The sequence below is a fragment of the Homo sapiens genome, chromosome 4, assembly GCF_000001405.40.
Source record: "Homo sapiens chromosome 4, GRCh38.p14 Primary Assembly".
NCBI classification, from domain to species: domain Eukaryota; kingdom Metazoa; phylum Chordata; class Mammalia; order Primates; family Hominidae; genus Homo; species Homo sapiens.
Genome location: NC_000004.12, coordinates 31,499,545 through 31,523,140, shown reverse-complemented (window position 1 = coordinate 31,523,140; position 23,596 = coordinate 31,499,545). Strand labels below are relative to the sequence as shown.

Below are 23,596 nucleotides of genomic sequence, written 5' to 3'. Positions count from 1 at the left end.
TGGTAAGTGAAATGCCAGGCATAGAAAGACAAATATTGGAGGCTCTCACTCATATATGGGAAGTAAAAAAGTTTATCTCAATGGCAGAGAGTAGAAGGATTATTACAAGAGCCTAAGAGAGGTAATTCAGAGAGGGATGATAAAGAGAGGTTGGCTAATGGGTACAAAAATAGATAGAATAAACAAATTCTAGTGTTCAGTAGCAAAATAGAGTGACAAAAGCTAACAAAAATTTAGTGGGTATTACAAAAGAGTTGGAAGAGAAGATGTGGAATGTTTCCAACACAAAGAAATGATAAATGCTTGAGGTGATGGATATTCCAATGATCCTGATTGCTCATTACTCACTGTATGCATATATCAAAATATCATATGTACTCCATAAATACGTACAATTATGTATCAATAAAAATATGAATGAATAAAAATAGACAAATCTCTTGTACAACATTTGAAGTAATTTATGTAGATATTTCTCCCTTGAGAAGGCCAGGGGTGATTCCCACACTTTAAGTGTGGGTGGTGAACAGTGATATCCTTCCAAAATTTATAGGACGGGCAGGGCAGGAGGAAAGTAACTTTATAGTGAAGAAAACTGAAAAACACTATCTCCAGCCAGCTGCTCAAGGCCATAATCAATAGTGATAAGACATGTTGATAATATGTACTCTTTGTATGATGTGATGAAAATGGTACTTAACCTCTGTGGTTTTCCTCTTAAAAATCCATAATCCGGCCGGGCGTGGTGACTCACTCCTGTAATCCCAGTACTTTGGGAGGCCGAGGAGGGCGGATCACGAGGTCAGGAGATTGAGACCATCCTGGCTAACACGGTGAAACCCCGTCTCTACTAAAAATACAAAAAAAAAAAAAATTAGCCAGGCTTGGTGGCCGGCGCCTGTAGTCCCAGCTACTCTCGGGAGGCTGAGGCAGGAGAATGGCGTGAACCTGGGAGGTGGAGCTGGCAGTGAGCCGAGATCGCGCCACTGCACTCCAGCCTGGGCGACAGAGCGAGACTCCGTCTCAAAAAAATAAAATAAAACAAAATAAAAACCATAATCCAACCCTAATCATGAGAAAAACATCAGACAAATCCTAATTGAGGAACATACTATAAATTATCTGACTCATACTCTTTAAAACTGTGCAAGTCATTAAAAACAAGAAAAATCTGAAACACTCTCATGGCCAAGAGGGGCCTAAGAAAACATTAAAGCTAAATGTAATGAGGTATCACAGATGGGAATTTGGAACACACAGACATTAGGTAAATACTAAGAATATCTGAAAAATATATCCACTTTGCTTAATAATAATATATCAATATTGGTTTATAAGTTGTAATAAATATGCTATACATTTGTAGGATGTTAATAGGGGAAGCTGGGTGTGGTATATATGACAACTCTCTGTACTATCTTCAAATTTTCTGTAATCTTTAACTGTTCTAAAATAAAACTTACTAAATTTAAAAAAGTTATTCTAGTAATAATGCACTACATTGGTAATGATAATAACAAGCAATAGGACTTACCATGTGCCCAGCACATGCAAGTAATACCATAGTACATATAATTACCACAGCTAACCCATAAAGGATATCTTAATAATTCCATTTTATGGATAAGAAAACTGGGGCTCAGATAAGTTAAATACCTTGACCAAGGTTACAGCAATTAAATTGCAAAGCCAAAACTCAAGTACATTTGGTCTGTCTCTAGGAGCTAGGCTCTTAATTACCTTACCGTTCTATCTCTTGAACATATTAATTTCATATTTCAATGTTTGGTTGAGTTTGAAAACATTGATGTGAAATGTTTTAGGAAACCCAAGAAACTGGGTCCTCTGAGAGACATCTGATAGAACAATCAGTGCCATTCCAGCAAATATGGGTTTTGTCCTGTTTTTTAAAAATGTTCTATACTCCTTTCTTCCAACTCTGCTTACTTTTTTTTAACCACATTCCTCAATTCCTGATCCTTTCCTCCCCTTTTCATTTCTCTGCTTCACTTTTGTCTGCTTAAACTTCACATAATTGACATTTTCCTTATTTTAAATTTTTCTTACTTTTTAAATAAATACAGTATAAATATAGTTGATATATCTCAGTGGCATATTGTTAATCTCTTTGGTGCCGCCAAAGAGTCATCATAGAATTAAGCAAAATAACTGTTGAATTTCTGCTTGATGAATTATACAATTCTGCATTCCCAAACTCCTTTTTGCTCATAGTTTCCACATCTTCTGCATATCTACATTGCCAGCATTTTTTATTTGTAGTTGATACGTAATGTTTGTACATATGTATAGGGTACATGTAATATTTTGTTACATGCATAGAATGTCTAATGATCAAGTCAGGATAGTTAGGATATACATCACTGTGAGCATTTATCATTCCTATGTGTTGAGAGCATTCCAAGTCCTCACTTCCAGCTATTTTGAAATGTATAGTACATTGTTAACAATAGTCGCTCTACTCTTGAACAAGCATACAGTTAGAGAGAAGAAATAAGTTATAATGTCCTATGGCAGTCTTTATTGATTACACCATTTAGGCATTTTATCCTATCAAAAATTAAAATAATCTCTTTCTATGCAAATGAGAATGTGGAGCGTGAAAAAATTCTAACATATCCTAAGGCCACAAAAAATGAAGACAGAATATTCATTAAAATGATTTGGCCTATATTTTTAATGCTTTCATATTTATACAATTTAAGAAATAGACTTAGTTTCAAATAAAGTTAATAAGACAGACTGCTAGAATTTATGGTCATATTTGCAAAGTAACCCCATAAAGTTCTTTAGGTCAATTTTAGTAGAAAAAAAATTCTTCTACCTATTATATTACTAAATTGTCTCAGCACCATCCTGAGACAAATACATAACAATATATAATATATAATCCATTTATATTTCCAATGCATATATATTTCCAATATAACCTCCGTGTCACTTATCATTGTTATATATTTTCTTTACAGGTTATATAATATAACATTTGTGCTGTTTCACAATAATTTTCCAGAGTTATATGGCCACCAGATTGGCCATAGGATAGTCAACTTAGTATTTTAAACTCTATGTTCAGCCAATTTTTGTACAATAGTTTGGATGGTCTGTTGTCAAGTTCATGTAGCTCTTAAGGTAATCAAATAAGCTCTAACTTTAAATTTTTTTCACATTAAAATATTATTCGTTATTATTTTTTTGAGATAGAGTCTCACTCTGTTGCCCAGGCTGGAGTGCAATGGTGCCATCTCGGCTCACTGCAACCTTCACCTCCCGGATTCAAACAATTCTCCTGCCTCAGCCTCCCAAGTAGCTGGGATTACAGGTGCCCACCACCATGCCTGGCTAATTTTTTTTTGTATTTTTAGCAGAGATGGGGTTTTACCATGTTGGCAAGGCTGGTCTTGAACTCCTGACCTCAGGTGATCTGTCCACCTTGGCCTCCCAAAGGCTGGGATTACAGGCTAAAATATTATTTTAAAAAGTAAATAATTACATGATATTTGAAATATATATTATATATACTCAACTTTGAAAAAGGCTATAGATCATCAATGAACTAAGCTGAAAGGAACTATCATCAGCCCTTTTCCTCTCTCTCTCTTTCTCTTTTCCTTTTTCTCCCTCTCTAACCTAGATTTGCAAATGCCAGCAAATAGGACAGAGCTCGTTATGAAGGCCATGCTGCCTATGTAATCAGTCCAATTAGATCTTTCCCACCAACAAATTTCTTCAAATAACAACATCCTCTATGAAAATCAATGCAAGAATCAACAAATAATCACTGAATACCTAGTAGAAATGGCTATAAATACATGAGGTTATTTTCCTTCTGATGATCTGAAAGGGAAGAATAATTACTGAGAACTCAGGCCTACATTTATGGGCTGTAACTTCAGCAGAGACGCAAACCGATAGCTCCTCAGCAGGGAATTTCATGAGCTGTGCTCATGTTTCAGAGATGAGTGCATATCTTTATCACTGTTTAATAGAGTTTAATAGTGTTTAAACCTGTTACAGCATGTAGTCTGGTGAAATGAAGCAGTTAAAAGTATATTGAATAGAAAAATAGTTCCCCTGGATATGTCTGTCCCAGATATATTGTCTATGGAATTCATCTCGTCATACCTTTAGTTAGAATTGTACATACCAAATGGACAATCCAAAGGAGGCCTGTGCAATTCTCCAAGTGGACTGCTTTCCATAAAGATTTTCAGGGTTCATCTGCTATGACTCACACTACTTTAGTTACTATGACTCACACTACTTTAGTTACTCTAGTAATCATTGCAAACATTTTCTTTTTCTTTCATCTTTCAGATTGCTGCACACTTGCACATATATTCTTTTTCTCATTTTCTCCTATCTTTTAATTTGGAAAAAAAATCATTCCTTTGTTTACTTCTCCTTTTGTGTGCATTGTATTCTGTTGGAACCTACACCATAACACCTTTAGTTGTTCGTCTACAGAAGCAGACATTTCTCTTGCCATCCCCAGCATTCTTACTTCTTTCTTGAGCATTAGCCAAATTTTCATTTGGTTATTCATTTCTACAGAACTCTGTTCAGGTGGGCCAAAAGAAAAGGTTTCACCTCCCACTATTCAGTTCCATGCATTGAGCATTATTTGACTGATAGCAAATCATAGTCCTCTAAACCCAACTGGTGGTTGAAGGTTGGGCATATCATGCAAGCCTATCAAATTGGAATTACTCTCAGAAATTTTACGGAAATTATTAAAAGACTGAACCCATCTTTGAAATAGTTTGTTTGTTTGTTTTTGAGATGGAGTCTTGCTCTGTCTCCTTGGCTGGAGTGCAGTGGCACGATCTCGGCTTGTTGCAACCTCCTCCTCCCGGGTTCAAGCAATTCTCTGCCTCAGCATCCCGAGTAGCTGGGATTACAGGCACCCACCACAACACCTGGCTAATTTTTCTATTTTTAGTAGAGATGGGGTTTCATCATCTTGGTCAGGCTGGTCTTGAACTCCTGACCTCATCATCCACCCACATCAGCCTCCGAAAGTGCTGGGATTACCAGCGTGAGCCACCGTGCTGGGCTTATGATAGTTTTATAGCAGCCATCTTCCTCCTACTACAGGATATATGTTTCTTACTAATTGGTGATACCATGTCATGCCTAGGAATGGAGAAAAATGTAAGAAGTAATAATATTTCAGAGAAATGAAATAAGAATATTTTCTAATTAGCCCCCAATTCAGTCATGCCTATACTGCCCTTAATCTCAGACTGTGTTATTATTTAAGACAGTAAAATCACTTTTAACTTTAAGCCATTTCAGGATGTGACTTGTTTCTCTTAAAAATTAAAGATAGCTGACCATTTAAATTTTTAGATTTTTAACATATTTAACTTTAAATGAAATAATAAGCCCTGTCCTATTTACTGTGTAAAGATGTGAGATAATGTTTGTACATTTGTTTTGTAAACAATGAAATACTATACAAAAGTAAGCACTATTATTACACTGTGAAATAAATATATTTACTATTAGCACTATTTGTTTGCCCTCAACACTAGATTTTTAGATACTAAGAATAACTTCCTCTGTATTCCAACATTTATAAATGCCTCAGCATTAACAATGCTTGTAAATTATACTAGCATTTTATTCTCTTCATTGCAAATACATGAAAACCTAAGACTCAGAAAGACTATGTTGCTTTCCCAAACTCACACTATTATGAGGTAGAATTTTGTGTAAAATACCAGTCTTCCATACTTTGAAATTAATGATCTTAACTGAGCTGACTCCTCTTGGGATATTTTTTCACCTTATCGTGACAACTGTTGGTGACTAGCTACCTAATGTAGAATTTATCATGGTATACAACATATACACTAACCTCAGTTATCAGCTTGGATTTTCCACCAGAAGCCAAAACTGGCAATACACTGTGCCTTTTAGATCCATACTACAGTCTGAGCTTATTGATCTATGGTCTGGGCTTTTGAGAATTGCCCCAACTGATATCAGAAACCCTAACCAGCAAGCCTTGCTCATAGTCCTAGAAATATTTCAAAGAATGTTCTTCCACATGTAGGTTATTTCAAATACATTACTGGATATCTTGTGAGACTAATCCATTTTTACTGACATGATTGGGAAATTCAAACATAAAAAGCCTAAGCCAAAGATCATATAGACATAGTTTTAAAAAGAGAAGGATAAGAAAAATGGCAGCAAGAGCTTCCTAAAACTTTTTATCTTTATAAATTTAAAATATTGGTCTAAAATCAAAATCTATAATTTAATCATTCTAAACAGAAATAAAGTCTTAGTAAATTAAAGATACATATTGGAACAAAGATACATATTGGCACAATGGTACACCTAGTGGAGTACCAGCAGTTAGCAACAAGCATGGTAGTTAGGGGCGAGTATCAGCCAAGCATACTCAATGACAGCATTCTCAGAACTCACAAGACCAAGCATGTAAAGACATTCTTGACTACAACAGTCTTAGGGTCAGAGAACTTGTTGATCTTATGCCATAAGGAAAGTATTATTTTTCCACCTTGGACAAATTTCAGTGATAAAGGTTGGGAAGGCAAGCTGTATACTAGAGAATGAAATGGGAGAAATTGAGGACATCTTTGTAAGCCAATTCCTTAGACAAAATGAAGACTCTTATAAAAACAGAAGGAAGATCCCAGAGAGAAAGAGAGAAGACGAAACAAAACAAAACAAAATAGGCAGAAAAAGAAATAGAAACCACTGTTGAATTGTTAATGAATGGAAGAAATTAATACAAGAAAAACTAAACAATAGTTATAGAACCTCTTTACAAAGCCCATTCGGAGCCTATCTTATTTTTCTTATCCTTCTGCCATTTTTCTTATCCTACTCCTTTTAAAACTATATCTACATGATCTTTGCGTAGACTTTTTATGACTGAATTTCCCAGTCATGTCAGTGAAAATGGATGTTTCACAAGCTATCCAATAATGTATTGGAAATAATCTAGGTGTGGAAGAGCAATCTTTGAAACATTTCTAGGCATATGACCAAGCCTTACTGGTTAGGGTTTCTGACATCAACTGGGTCAAGGCTCAAAAGCCCAGACCACAGATTAATAAGTTCAGACTCTAGGATAGGGTTTCTTCTCATTGGTAGTTAATCTGGCCACTCTTGGTCTTGGAACTGACAGTTAGCCTGTTTAATGATAAATCATAGGGTTTGTATCCTTCAGGAATTCACAGACAGGTGGAAACAAATCTAAACAAGGAAGTTATACTAAAATGAGATTAAAGTATGCATTGTATTCACAGGGAGGACCACTTGAAAAAATCTTCAAGGACGTATTTCTCCAAATGGCCTGCATAGCACATTTTCTTATGTCTTTATACATTTTCACCTGCCTGAACCATGCTACCAATGCTTGCTGAATACAAATTTATGACCACAGTTTTCTACATGCTAATGCATAGCCAAGCCAATTAGAAATCCAAAGGAGGCTTGAAATGGGAACAATCTGAATCTTGCAGCTATCAAACAGAATTAATGTGATATGATTTCCTAGAACTTAACAATTGGCATGTATACTTTTTCAAAGATAAAGCATAAAATATAGTAAGAGGTCAAGTTCCCTCATGGTATTATGCCCATGTAGAATTCTAAAATGTTACATATTATTAATAGCCTTTTAACATAAAATATTTTTATGATATTATGATTATTGGTTTTATGATATTATTTTTTTCTTCTCTGATAAGAGTGCAAGAAGGAAGCTATCTTTTCCTGTGTTGCTTACCTATGGCTGTCAAATACCAGAACAATACCTGGAACATGGCAGGCACTCAATAAATATTTATAGTTAAATAAAATAATACCTTAATTTGAGGGTAGAATCATGAAACTAAAGAAGGGGAAAACAAGGTGTATTGATATACATACACACACACACTCCTCATTAAGGGGAAGATATGGTCGAATTTCATTTTTTCAAATATAAATTATAAAAGTAAAATTTGGTTGATGGTGTTTGGAGGCTAGAAAGAACAGTTTAGCCTTTTTCTTATTTTATATTTCTTGAACACAAATGTAAAAAACATTTATATTATTTGGAATTCCTATTTAATTTTACTATGATTACTTTTCCTAGTTCTACTTTTGCCTACTGCAACTCCCAACTCCTTGTCATTTTTATCATTATGTGCATTTGAGTCATACCGCTACAAATTAGCAACCAAGAGAGCACATTCCATTTTATTCACCTGCTGATGGATTACATATCATTCTACATCATAAATGTATCTTGCACATGGTAGTCTCTGTCTCTTTATCTCACACCATACGCCTTTGCAGATATATTTTTATATTTTTTTCCATTACAGTTGACTAAGGAATTGTTCTAATTACCTATTTTTACTGATTCTCTCTTAACATTGAATGTTGTGCAATACAAACTCCCTGCTCTTAAATAGTGACTTTTTTTTTTGTCTTTTTTTTTTGGCTTAGTATAGAAAATAAATAATATCTTCTCCTTATGCTATCAGCCTTTAAGTGAGCCCTAATGGGATGCTAGGCAATTCATCAGAGCCATTGAGCTTTTCTTGGTGCAGTTTAAGAGGTGACAAAGGTAACAAATATCTGCAACCAACAGAATTTGAAGCAAATATATTGCAATTCAGAGTAGATGCTCACCGGAAGGAGACTGGACATGATGATGATGATGATAATGACAATAATTATTATTTACTGAGCACTTATATGCCCAGTACCATTTTTTAAATAATAGTCTCATATAATACTTGCACTATCATTCTGAGGTAGGTGTTATTTTATTTTCATCTCCATTTTTGAATGAGGGACCTAAATTTAAGAAGATTAAATAATAAAGGCAAACATTTGCTGTGTATGTATTGTGTGACAGATATAATGCTAAGTACTTTACATGTATACATATCTCATCTAAACCTAAAAACAGCTCCATAAAGTAAGTTCCACTTTAATCCCCATTTATCAATGAAGAAATATACACATGCAAAGGGAACTTGCCCAAGATCACACACCTAGTATTAGAGTAAGACTCAAATCCATTTGTGTCTTGCTGTTGAAACTTAGCTATTAATGACTTCATAATGCCTTTCTTTGATTTGTTTTTTATATGCCAAATTGACTTTGATGTCAAATAGAACTGGCTTTGAATCTTGGTTCTTAAATCCAGCAGCTGTCATTTTAATGTCCCTGAGACCCATTTTCTTCTATAAAATTAAATAGCAATAATAGCTACCTTATAGGATTGTTTAAGGGTTAAATGTAACACTGATATGCATAACATTTAGCTCAGGGCTTGGTACATACTAAATACTCCATAAAGAATAGTTACTATTATTATTTTTAAGATTTAGAACAAAAATAATTATTTACCTTAATAAATTGCTTAAGGTAAATATTAAAGCATGCTCAATACTAGTGCAGAAAATGACAATAATCATATCATAAAAGGAAATACAATTTTAGAAAGATAGTAAATTGTCTTACATCTGTATAGTGCTATGGAGTATGTACATTGGTGTTGTACAACTTTTTTCCACTTAATCCTAATTATTTTCCTTGGATTGAGTAAGGCAGTCTGCTCTTCCTCTACCACATGGGTAAAACAGAGGTTCTGAGTGATTATCCAAAGCAAAAAAATGACTAGCGGTTGAGCTGGGACTCTTCCAATCAACTCTCTCAATAAAAATCCACAATTCTCTCTATATTAAGTAAAGTGTACAAGAATACACACCACCCTACTAGTTTTATGTATAGTTGAATTTCTAAGTACAAAATCATTTTACATACTTATGTATTAGTTTCACAATATAAAAACTTAATGTGTATACAAACACCAGGTCCCATCAAGAAACAGACTGTATAGCACTAATAAAATTTTACAAACACTCATTCTAAAAGTCATACTCACTGCTACTTAAGAGAATAAATCTGACACTATCATACAGGAAGGAGAAAAATATACATATTTAAAATAAGAGAGGTCTTTGAAAAGTGCTATGGTTGGAGGAAGTTGATTTTCTTCCATTCATCTAAGTCAAAGCAATTGAAAATAACTCGCATCTAAAGAGAAAAAAAGATGCATATTAAAAAGCATAAGTGTATTCACTTTTAGGAAATAAGAGCTATCTTCCTTGAACAGACATCTTCATGTGGAATAATAAATCAAAATCAATTAGGTAGATATTTATATTTTAAAATATGATGCTTAGTTTTAGTTTCTGTATGTGAAAATGTTAAGTATTATTCCAGGACACTATTTTAAAAGTTTCAGATTTTTTAAAAATCAAAAATTAAAAAGAGACATGCTGAACTGTGTAAGTTACTTGTTGATTCTGGATATCAGATCTTTGTTTGATGCATAGTTTGTGAGGTTGTCACAAACCTGTAAGTTGCCAGTTTACTCCATTGATAGTTTCTTTTGCTGTGCAAAATCTCTTTAGTTTAATCAGGTCGCACTTGTCAATTTTTGTTTTTGTTGCAATTGCTGCTGAGGATTTAGTCATAAATCCTCTGTCCAGAATGGTATTTTCTAGGTTTTCCTCTAGAACTTTTATAGTTTGAGCTCTTACATATAAATATTTAATCCACCTTGAGTCAATTTTTGTGTATGGTGAAAGGTAAAAATCCAATTTCATTCTTCTGCGTCTGGCTAGCCAGTAATCCCAGTACCATTTATTGAATAGGAGTTCTTCCCCATTGTTTTTTATAAATCAAGAAACAAAAAACAAGTGACCACCTTAAAAAGTGAACCAAAGACATGAGCAGACACATCTCAAAAGAAGACGCATAAGCAGCCAATGAACAGGAAAAAATGCTCAACATCACTAATCATTAGAGAAGTGCAAATCGAAACCACAATCAGACACCATCTCATGCCAGTCAGAATAGCTATTATTAAAAAGTCAAAAAATAACAGATGCTGGAGAGGTTGCATAGAAAAGGGAATGCTTATACATTGTTGGTGGGAGTCTAAATTAGTTCAACCATGGTGAAAAGAAGTTTGGAGATTTCTCAAGGGTCTTAGAACTACCATGTGACACAGGAATCCCATTACTGGGTGTATATACCTAAAGGAAAATTAACAGTTCTACCAAAAAGATACATGAACTTACATATTCATTGCAGCACTATCTGCAATAGCAAAGACATAAAATCAACATACATGAATTGGATAAAGAAAATGTGGTACATATACACTGTAGAATACTGTACAGCTGTCAAAAAGAATAAAATCATGTCCTTTGCAACTACAAGGATGCAGATGGAGGCCATTATTCTAAGAAAATTAACTCAGGACCAAGAACAAACTACCACATGTTCTCACTTATAAGTGGGAGTCAAACAACGGGGTACACATGGACATAAAGAAAGGAGTATACACTGGGGACTACTAAAGGGGATACCAAAAAAGTGAGGGAAGGACTGAGAAACTGCCTCTTGGCTACTATGCTCACTACCCAGGTAACGAGATCATTTGTATCCCGAACGTCAGCATCACGCAATATACTCATGTAACGAACCTGCATGTGTACTCCCTGAATCTAAAATAAAAGTTGACCTTATATTTAAAAAAGATATGCTGTTTATCAAACAAAACAAATGAACAAACATCTTCTCCCACCAGGCTCTGTTAACTAGGAAATATTAACACTTAGCAACTTCTGAATCTCAACACTGAGGAAAGTTGGAAAATGGCCATCACACACAAAAACGCAAGTACATTGGTAATAACTAAAAAGATAAAAAAGAAGTAATGCAAAAACACCTACTAAGTGTGTCATATTCTGCTTTTACTTTTTATTAAATCAGGCTCATAGAACATATTGAAAAATCCCACATGACACTTTCTTTTCATTGCCACCTAATCTTTTCCAAACATACATGCCTTTCTGGTACTCACTCTGAGATTAATCAGCCTCTCACTCAGTACCAAAAATGGAGGTCTTTAATAAGAAATTCCTCTACTCTCACTACTGTGTTTCTCTCTTCACTCAAACCTTTTTCCTTCCTTTTTATTTCAGAATAATTTTATTGATCCCATTCACTCAAACCTCCTCTGGGCTTTTAAAAAACTTTTCTTAGTGTTTTTACATATAATTTTTTATTTTTTCTTGAGTTTTGCACATCCTAATGTTATGCTTAAATTTCCTTCATGAAAAAAACATGTTTTTACTCCTTCTTAATGCCTTTTCAAGGAACCCTGTGAGCTTGGACACTGTAGCATGATGAAACGATCAAAAGATAATTCTCTAGATATTCTGGACTATGTAATAGTTACTGGTCACTTGATATGTGTTGGACATAGGGCTACATACTTTCAAGTACTTATTAAATTATCAGAAAACATTATGTATTTCTAATGTTTAAGTCTTAGATTGGATTTCTAAATTGAATACATTTTTAATTTGCATTTCTTACAAATGTATACTTGGAAATATTATACATGCTAGTCTAAATACAAGGCTAAATAGGATTAGTATGTCAAAATTTTATTCCATATCATTTTGATTTTTTCTACCTTAATTGGGCTTAGGTAAAAAGTTTGAAATGTCCTTGCAGAAAAACGTATAACAATAAAATTCTTAATCATTATTAACAATAACAATAATAGGTATCCCTGGAGTCCTGAATAAGAACGAAAGGAAACCTAGAATAAAGCTAATGGATTAATAGAAGACAGATTGATCCAGAAACAAAAAGCCTCCATGAGGTTTAAAATGTGTCTGTATTTAAAGAGAAAAACTGAGAGCTGGAAAAATGTCTGATCAGGTAATAGAATGTTGTAGTGTAAGACTTTATTCATTGTTCATTTTTGGATTATGACAAAGTTCTAGGTGTGGCCTTCAATATATGAAGGCATATGTGGCATGAAACTAAAGCCGTTGGAGTTGAAGAGGAGAAACAATTATAAAACATGGGGATTCAGGATGGGTGCAGTGGCTCATGCCTGTAATCCCAGCGCTTTGGGAGGCTGAGGCAGGCGGATCACCTGAGGTCCGGAGTTTGAGACCAGACTGGCTAATATGGTGAAACCCCATTTCTACTAAAAGTACAAAAAATTATCTGGGCATGGTAGCATGTGCCTGTATTCCCAGCTACTCGGGAGGCTGAGGCAGAAGAATTGCTTGAACCCGGGAGGCCGAGGTTGCAGTGAGCTGAGATCATGCCGTTGCACTCCAGCCTGGGCGACAAGAGCAATACTCCATCTCAAAACAAAACAAAACAAAGCATGTGGATTCAATTATTATGAATTCCCAAAGACACTATTATAGCCTAGGATAATGATGGCTCCAAGGACAGCCATGAAGTCAGTGACAAAATCTTTTGGTGAATAACTGAGAGTGATTATAACAATTCAGCTTATCTGAATTCAACAGTGTTTTTATCTAAGAATAAAGGATTAATAATTTGGAATGGTAATTATAACAAGGAAAAATATCCTTATTCCTGTTCTTGAAGGTTTCCTTCTTACCATCAATGTGTGGTGGCTAGAAGATCAACATAATTTTTCAGGGACCACAGGGGAGTCCATGTATTCTGTGGAGACCAGGATTTATTTAAGAAAAGAAAATAATGGGCAGAAAGAGTATTCATTGTAGTTAATTGTGGTGGAGCTAGTTAATAGATCAAAGAATCCAGATTTGGCAGAGAGGGCAGAAATAGAAGTGTGAGTTAAAGGAACATTGGATACCATTTCAAAGAGAGTATATTATTAAACTAGCTTAGCATCTCAAGGTAGTGAGTTGACAGAAACAAGAGGTGTGTTGGAATTATCTGCTATCAAGATACTTACAGGGACTTTCGGCAAAGGTCCATTCAAATTGGTAATAACACAGCCAGAAGTTTTGGTGCTGTTTGATGGTAAACAATGTTTTTTGCTTGTCGGCCAGTCACATTTATCATTTTGCTTATATTTTCACATACAAGTTTTGCTGGAAAAATTGTGAGTTTCCTATTTACTTGTCTTCCAAGGAGAAAGATATGTATTCCAAAAAGGAAAAGGGAGCAGAGAACAATGATTAAGTCCCTTAAATAATTTTTTTACCTATAAGATATTCTTTATAAAGAAACTCTAAATTATTTTTCAAGTGGAAGTGTATTTTCTTTATTATTTTGATACTTCCATATCTATTTTCCCATATTATTTTCTACTATTTCTGTAAATCATCCAGAAGCAGCTTATATCTGTTACTCTAAGCTACATATGTTTCTTATTATTGAATATTATCCTTGATCTTTTTCTGATAAAGCTAAATTGAACTGATATGACAAAAAAAACACACCTCTTACTGGAAATATTAATTATTCACAGACAGCATTCCAGTATCAGGCACCAAATAAATAAAGAAAAAATATCCCTAATTCTGCACAAGGCAATTTTGGGAAAAACAACATTCACAGTATTAGTCGTGTTAATAGTCAGAACTATGAGCAGTTTTAAAGGACAGATGTTATTCTTCTTTCTCCAATGCTGTTTAATGATTTCTCATAGGCATCCTTATAAGGCCATAGAGGTTAGAGTGGGGCAGACATGGGCTCTTCAGTCAAGCAGTCTTGAGTCGGCTTAACTCATTGATTGACATTTATTGGTGGTATTGGACTGTTTAATTTCAGAGCCTCCACTGTTAATACTACACTATATTACCTCTCATAGGATCAACTCACTTGGTGGTGATGAGAAATAAATGAAATATTTATCTTTTCTATGCTTTTCATTTATTTTATAGTATAGGACAATGAAGCAATTTTTTCAGGTTCCTGAAGCTATCAGGTGGTAGAACTGAGATTAAAAACAAATAAGCAAAAACAAAAACAAAGAAAAAACACTGTCTTAACTTCATATCTAGTGCAATGTCTTAATATAACATTTTTTCTCATCCTTGAGAACATGTTTTAAAGTATAATTGCTTTACTTAAGAAAAAAATCAATGAGGTCTATAATCATTCTGTTTTGAGTCCTGGAATTTTTTTTTCATAGTCGAAGAAACTAGTGATCTTGAGAACGGTGTTGTGCTTATACTGCAATCTGATAGTAATTATATGTATACTGCAAATTCATATAATTTTTCTCTATTTTTTGTTTCACATAGTTTTAAATAATATGCAGAAATCACAGAGGTACATTATTGCCAAGATATAAAGATCATCTGTTGAAATGATTAATTATTAATGTATTCACATGCTAGCTGATTAAAAATATTTAGTGTAAGTGTATGTATTAGGGTTCTCTAAAGGGACAGAACTAATGGAATATATATATATTTATATATATATATACATATATATGTATGTATGAATTTGTTAAGTATTAACTTACACGATCACAAGGTCCCACAGTAGCCCGTCTGCAGGCCGAGGAGCAAGGAGAGACAGTCCGAGTTCCAAAACTAAAGAATCTGGAGTCCAATGTTTGAGGGCAGGAAGCATCCAGCACAGGAGAAAGATGTAGGCTGGGAGGCTAGGCCAGTCTCTTTTCACATTTTTCTGCCGGTTTATATTCTAGATGTGTTGGCAGCTGATTAGACTGTGCCCAGGCAGATTAAGGGTGGGTCTGCCTTTCCCATCCCGCTGACTCAAATGTTAATCTCCTTTGGCAACACCCTCACAGACTCAACAAAGATTCAGTACTTTGTATCCTTCAATCCAATCAAGTTGACACTCAGTATTAACCATCACAAGTCCACCCCTTGTCAACATGAACCCACACACATCTCCTGATATCAGACATAATCTTCAAATAAAGACAATTAATAAGGTTGTAATTATGCCTAACGTAATACAACTATCCTTCATACAATCAGAAACGCACCACTCCCCAACCCAAATACTATTACATAAAGTTAACAATACACAAATGCTAATATGAAGGCAATAAATCTTATGTCGCATGATAAAGGAGAAAGGAAATAAAATGAAGATATTTTTTAGTAAAAGTGTATACATGCACAGACATGCTTTTAACAAAATAAGGAGGAAATACTCATGACAATTACAGTCCTCATTGCTGCAGCTGTTCATGTGGTCATAGCTGGTATTGATGACTACCTTCTTCTACTACCCATTCTGTATTCCCTTTGCCTTTAACAGGCACCTCAGCAGGTCGTGTGTTTTTTTCCTGGTGGAGTGACCCAAACCTTCATTCCTGAAAGGTCTGGGTCATTTGTGGTCCTGCCTGGATTGGACTATTGTAGTTTCTGATTGACCTTAATCACAGGCCATCATAATACTAACAGACACCCTAATGGATCTCCTGTATTCCATGCATACTCTTCCTTACCTCAGTTGTGGAGTAGTAGACTGATTTCATCTTGATAATCTGGGTCAATCGCCCCAGCCAAGTAACTCTCTTCTTAGCCTGTTGACTTCAAGGTAGGAGAAGCCCAAAGTGTCCAAGTGGCAATCTTAACTTCTAATTGAATGGAATCGTTGTTGTGTCTCCTGGCGGCAGTGTTTCTCCCTCTGGAACTAAGACCTTTAGGCCAGCAAAATATAATGTCATGGGAACAGGAAGCAAAAATTTTGCCAGTGGATCTCTAGGGGTGTTGGTGAGTCGTGCCACTTCCATTTCCACCCCTTGATTCCTGGACTCCTGAATCTTGGCTATGGGAGAAACAGTACCATATATCGGCCACTGATTCAGAGCATACACAGCCTTCTGGAGCACTTTGCCCCAGCCCTGCAAAGTATTGTCACCTAGTTACCATTGTAATTGTGACTTCAAAAGGGCATTCCAGCGTTCTGTCAATCCAGCTGCTTCAGGGTGTTAAGGAACATGATAAGACCAGTAAATTCCATGAACGTGAGCCCATTGCCGCACTTCTTTACCCATAAGTGAGTGCCTTGGTCAAAGGCAATGCTGTGTGAAATACTATGACAGTGGATAAGGCATTCTGTGAGTCCATGGATGGTAGTCTTGGCAGAAGAATTGTGTGCAGGATAGGCAAACACATATCCAGAGTAAGTGTCTATTCCAGTAAGGACAAACCTCTGCCCTTTCCATGATGGAAAATGTCCAATATAATTAACCTGCCACTAAGTAGCTTGCTGATCACCTCAAGGAATGGTGCCATATCAAGGGTTTGATGTTGGTCTCTATTGCTGGGAAATTGGGCAATCAGCAGTAGTCACAGCCAGGTCAGCCTTGGTAAGCCCATGTTGCTGAGCCCATGCATAACCTCCATCCCTGCCACAATGGCCACTTTGTTCATAGGCCCATTGGGCTGTGACAGGGTGGCTGGAGAAAGAGGCTGAGTGGTGGCCACAAAACTGATCATCCTTTTCACTTGATTATTAAAATCCTTCTCTGCTGAGGTGACCCCTTGGTGACCACTCACATGGGATACAAATAACTTCACAATTTTTGACCACTCAGAGAGGTCCATTCACATACCTCTTCCCCAAATTTCTTTATCACCAATTCTCCAATCATGCTTCCTCCAAGTTCCTGACCATCCAGCCAAACCATTGGTTGAAGCCCATGAATCAGTACATAATCGCATATCTGGCCATTTCTCCTTCCTTGCACAGTGCACAACAAGGTGCACTGCTCGAAGTTCTGCCCACTGGGAAGATTTCCCTTCATAGCTGTCCTTCAGGGATGTCCTAGAAAAAGATTGTAGTGCTGCAGCTGTCCACTTTTGGGTAATGCCTGAATATTGTGAAGAACCTGTGAACCAGGCCCTAGTCTTCTTTTCCTCTGTCAACTGATCACAGGGAACACCCCATGTAGCCATCGGTGCAGGCTAGGGAAGAAAAGGCAGAGTGGCAGGAGTGGAGACCATGGGCATTTGAGCCACTTCCTCTTGTAACTTACTTGTGCCTTCAGGACCTGCTCGAGCCTGATCACGCATATACCACTTTCATTTGATGATGGACGGCTGCTGTGCACAACCTACTTTATGGCTAGATGGGCCAGAAAGAACCCAGTTCATGATAGGCAGTTCAGGTTACATGGTGCCTTGATGACCCACAGTCAAATGTTCAGTTTCCACCAAAGCCTAGTAATGAGCTAAGAGTTGTCTCTCAAAAGGAGAGTAGTTATCTGCAGAAGATGGCAGGGCCTTGCTCCAAAATCCTACAGGCCTCTGCTGTGATTCACCTATGAGGGCCTGTCAAAGGCTCCAAACAACATCCCTACCTGCAACTGAAACCTCAAACACCATAAACACCATTGGATCTTCTGGGTCATATGGCCCAAGTGGCAGAGCAGCTTGCACAGCAGCCTGGACCTGTTGCAGAGCCTTCTCCTGTTCTGGACCCTACTCAAAACTGGCCACCTTTTGGGTCACTGGATAAATGGGCTACAGTAACACACCCAAATGAGCAATGCATTGCCTCCAAAATCCAAATAGACCCACTAGGCATTGTGCCTCTTTCTTGATTATAGGAGGGGCCAAATGCAGCAACTTATCCTTCACCTTAGAAGGAATATCTTGGCAGGCTCCACACCACTGGACCCCTAGAAATTTCCCTGAGGTAGAAGGTCTCTGAATTTATTTGGATTTATTTCCCATCCTCTGGCATGCAAATGTCTCACCAATAAGTTTAGCGTGTTTGCTACTTCTTGCTCACTTTATCCAATCAACATAATGTCATTAATGTAATGGACCAGTGTGATATCTTGTGAAAGTGAAAAACTATCAAAGTCACTCCAAATAAGATTATGACACAAAGCCGGAGAGTTGATATACCCCTGAGGTAGGACAGTAAAGGTATATTGCTGGCCTTGCCAGCTGAAGGCAAATTGCTTCTGGTGAGCCTTATGGACAGGAATGGAGAAAAAGCATTTGCCAAGTCAATGGCTGCATACCAGGTACCAGGTGTTAATTAGCTCAAGTAATGAAACCACATCTGGTACAGCAGCTGCAATTGGAGTCACCACTTGGTTAAGCTTACAATAATCCACTGTCATTCTCCAGGATCCATCTGTCTTCTGCACAGGCCAAATGGGAGAGTTGAACGGGATGTGGTGAGAATCACCACCCCTGCGTCTTTCAAATCCTTGATGGTGGCACTAATCTCTGCAATCCCTCCAGGGATGCGATATTGTTTTTGATTTACTATTTTTATAGGAAGAAGCGGCTCAAATGGCTTCCATTTGGCCTTTCCCACCATAATAGCTTTCACCCTACCAGTCAGGGAGTCAATGTGGGGGTTCTGCCAGCTGTTAAGTATGTCTATGTCAATTATGCATTCTGGCACTGGGGAAATGACCACAGGATGAGTCTGGGGACTGACTGGACCCACTGTAAGTCGAACCTGAACTACAACTCCATTAATTATCCGACCTCCAAAAGCCTCTACTTTAACTAGAGGACTACAATGACATTTTGGGTCCCCTGGAATCAACGTCAGCTCAGAACTAGTGTCCAGTAGTCCCCAAAATGTCTGACCATTTCCCTTTTCCCAATGCACCGTTACCTAGGTTAAAGACCAGAGATCTCTTTGGTGAAGGATGGGAGAAAGATTCATTGCATAAATTGTTGGTAATGCAGCGAGGTCCTTCCTCAAGGGGACACAGCCTCCTCTTCATTCAAGGTGTTCTTTGTCTGTAAACTGCCTTAAGCCTGGAAATTGATTGAGGGGCCATGATTCTCTATTTTTATAATTCAAATTAGTCTTTTGTCTATTTGATCTAGAAGTTTTCTGCTTATATAAACTAAGTATAAATGCAGTAGGCTTCCTACCAATTTCACTTCTAGGAACACCATTATTAATTAGCCAATGCCAGAGCTCTACAGGAGTCAGACTATTCTGATTGCCGCTTGCCTCTGCTGCCCATTATGGTAGCTATGCCTACCTTGCCTTTGATGATTGAGTGCTGCCACTTGGCCCCTGCCACCTTGGGATCTAATTATTCCTATTGTATTTAAATTTTGCAGTTGAGGGACTGTAGTTCCCATTGTTAGATATGACATACACAGAAAAGCAATTACAAGCCTCTTCAAAGATGCAGAAGCTGCCCTCACAAATCTATTTTTCAAGGCATTGTTCAAAGATATATCTTCTGGACCCTCTCAGCTGGGATGAGTAGGTCTAAAGTGACTAATCTACTCCACTATCCCAATCTCCCTAAGCCTTTGGATCTCTTCCTTTACATTAAACCAAGCGAGATCAGGCATTTCCAGCTCACTCAGAGTGGGCTATCTTTTAATCCATATTTTAGATAACCAAGCAAATAAACTACTAAAACCATCTTAACTCCCTGAGCTGCAATATTAAATATAGAGTCCCTACTTAGTGGGCCTAAATCAATAAATTCAGCCTGATCCAACTCTATGTTCCTTCCACCATTATCCCACACCCTTAATATCCATTCCCATGCCTGTTTTCCAGATTTCTGGTAATACAAATTAGAAAACTCAAACAGTTATTTTTAAGTGTAGCACCCCTCCTCATGGGTCACACTCTCAACCTCACCTCTAGGGGCCCACTGGGACTTTAGTCTAGTTATAGGTCTAGAAGCAAACAAGAGTGTTGGGGGTGACTCCTGAGGAGAATCAACATTATCTTGCCTGACAACTAACTTAGGAGAGGCAAGCACTGTTGTCTCAGGCAACACAGGGTTTATCTCCTCAGACAAAAGTGGAAAAGTTGATGGCAGCATGGGTCGGGGAGGGAATGTTGTCACTACTGGTGAGGGGGAAGCTATTTCTTCTGGCAAAAAAAATGTTCAATCAGAGTTTACAAACTCAGTGTCCCCAGCTTCATCAGGTCCTCCCACACATCCCCATTCCAAATTGCAGGGTCCCATTCTTTTCCAGACAATGCCCTCACTTTAACAGTAGACAACTAGCGAGACTGTGCATGCACCTTTCATTGCAGGTCAGCCACTCGCATGATAAGATCTTGTGTCTGTTTTTTCATAATTTCAGCTCTTTCTCTACAGGAGATAAGACTCTCACTCAGGGCAATCTTAGCAGATTTCAGCCTCAATAATTTTAGGGATAGAATCCCTGAGTTCATCATTTTCTTTCATCACTTTGTCCAGTAAACTGAGGAGCAACCAATCAGCTTCATTACATTCCTCAGTTCCCCATATATGGTCAAAGGTATCATGTACAGAGTCACTAAACTCCTTGGCTCTCACAAGCAATGAATCATGAGGGTCAAATGCATTTATTTTGCATAACTCTCTAAACAGTTCATGCCAAAGACTACCAGCGTACTCCATACTACTAGAAATAGAGTCCTTAGCATTTTGGAGTCTAATCATATTAAGCAACCAACTCCAGAAACCCCAAAACTAATGAAAGAACTCCATCCTTAATATTCTGTTCCTCTAGAACCACGCCTGGTACCAAAATCTATATTATTCAGGGTTCTCTAGAGGGATAGAACTAATGGAAAACGTGTGTGTGTGTGTGTGTGTGTGTAAAGGGGAGTTTATTAAGCATTAACTTACACAATCACAAGGTCCCACAATAGAACATCTGTAGGCTGAGGAGCAAGGAGAGCCAATCTGAATTCCAAAACTGAAGAACTTGGAGTCTGATGTTCAGGGGCAGGAAGCATCCAGCAACGGACAAAGATGACAAAGATATAGGCTGGGAAGCTAGGCCAGTCTCTCTTTTCACATTTTTCTGCCTGCTTATATATTCTAGCCATGTTGGCAGCTGATTAGACTGTGCCCACCCAGATTAAGGGTGGGTTTGTCTTTCCCAGCCAATTGACTCAAATGTTAATCTCTTTTGGCAACACCCTCACAGACACACCCAAGATCAATACTTTGTATCCTTCAATCCAATCAAGTTGACACTCAGTATTAACCATCAGAGTGTATTTTCTTTATCCAAAACTACATTGAGTGCTAGGATAAGACACAAACTCTGATTTCAAAAATAATTTTTTTTCTCAAATTTAATTTTGGATATATATACATATATGCACCACTATGTATACATATACACATATATATAATCCATTACAAATATTTTTTTACTCGTGTAAGATCTAAATTCTTTTACTTTTCAAATTTCTTACTCCTTATAACAGTAGGAAATTGAAGCATTGCCAAGGTCATCTCCTGGCCGACTGCCTCTTTTCTATAGTCCCATAAGCAGGGTTCATTGACCTGTCTCCTAGATACAGTTTCCCTAGATTCCAGCTTTTCTTGTTTTCTCTACTTAACAATAACCTAAATTTACACTTTGATAAATATCCTTCAGAAATTGGATTAGGACAGGAATAGGAATTCTGGTACCAGAATACAGTTAGCTACTGTGTATCTTGAATTCCAAAGAGATATTTACTAAATACAATCAGATAAATATAAGACTCTATTATCATACAGTGGAAATCTCTTGAGTGCCCACTAGGTTACAGGCATATGTTCCTAAAGATGATCTATTCATATTTTAAAGCTTTAATCATCTAAATGTTTCTGCCTTGGCTCATCTTCAATTAAATGCATCCTTTACTCCCCTTCGAGAGGATACAAATTCTACTCAGTTCTATTTACTTCAAAGATACATTTAAAAGATATAAGGATGGGGGACGGATCTCTGTTTTGAAATTTTGAACTCATGGGCTCACTTCCAACCATATTATTGTCACTTTGTGTCTGCTGAAGAAATTAATACCGTAAAGTTATAGGACTTTTTAAAATGTAATTAATCTGTGAAATGTTCCTGTATACAAATACATTAACTAATTTCATGAAGTCTATCTGAAAGCTTCATTTTTTGACACCATTCCAAGACTCATTAATAGCGTGCTCTCTTTAGTATATGAAAATGGTACATTGGTGCCTGTAATGCTCAGCATTGTTTGTAGGATTTTTTATCCCACATCACCTTATTGGCAGTGAACATCTACTAAATTATTCTTCTCTCTAACTTGACATCTTTTATTTTTAGCATTAACTATTTAACATGCAGTTCAATTGATGTATTTTCAATTTTTGGAAGCATATATATATATATATACAATTACATATAACAATAATATTTATCAAATATCAATAACACATTTTCATTAGAAAATCATTATGCTCTTTTTTATTTTTGTATTTTATAGTTTTTACAAAACTGAAAGATTTACCAGTATACTAAGATTGTTATAAATGGATGAAGATTCATAAATATAAAACAACATTACCACTCTCTGGTTTGCAAGGTAAGGGAAATGTCCTCAAAACAACAATAATAGTAGTAATATTAATAATACAATTTATGTTTTTACTAGTACTTTTCAATTCACAGGTATTTACAAAGACATTTGGAGAGATATTATCAACATTTTATAGAAAAGGACCCTCATCCTGACTATGCTATGTGAGTACATAAAAAAATTGAATCCAGACATTCCAACTGTAAGTTGAGTGCATTTTCCACTACAGTGAAAAGACAACAGGTGCTGGAGAGGATGTGGAGAAATAGAAACGCTTTTACACTGTTGGTGGGAGTGTAAATTAGTTCAACCATTGTGGAAGTCAGTGTGGCAATTCCTCAAGGATATAGAACTAGAAATACCATTTAACCCAGCGATCCCATTTCTGGGTATATATACCCAAAGGATTATAAATCATTCCACTATAAAGATGCATGCACACGTATGT

The 23,596-nt window shown here is 36.5% G+C and overlaps 2 long non-coding RNA genes across 3 annotated transcripts in view; one reads left to right on the top strand and one right to left on the bottom strand.

Moving 5' to 3' along the window:
- LINC02501 (long intergenic non-protein coding RNA 2501) overlaps positions 1–16,597 on the bottom strand; it is a 52,278-nt gene extending 35,681 nt beyond the window's left edge. For both annotated transcript variants that reach the window (NR_149121.1, NR_149122.1), the window contains exon 1: positions 16,316–16,597. This is a non-coding gene — a long non-coding RNA (long intergenic non-protein coding RNA 2501). The remainder of the gene's footprint in view (positions 1–16,315) is intronic.
- Positions 16,598–16,832: 235 nt separating this feature from the next.
- Positions 16,833–23,344, top strand: LOC105374564 (uncharacterized). Its single transcript, XR_925547.1, has 3 exons — positions 16,833–16,995; positions 23,056–23,154; positions 23,241–23,344. It is a non-coding gene; the product is annotated as an uncharacterized LOC105374564 (long non-coding RNA).
- Positions 23,345–23,596: the final 252 nt, after the last annotated feature.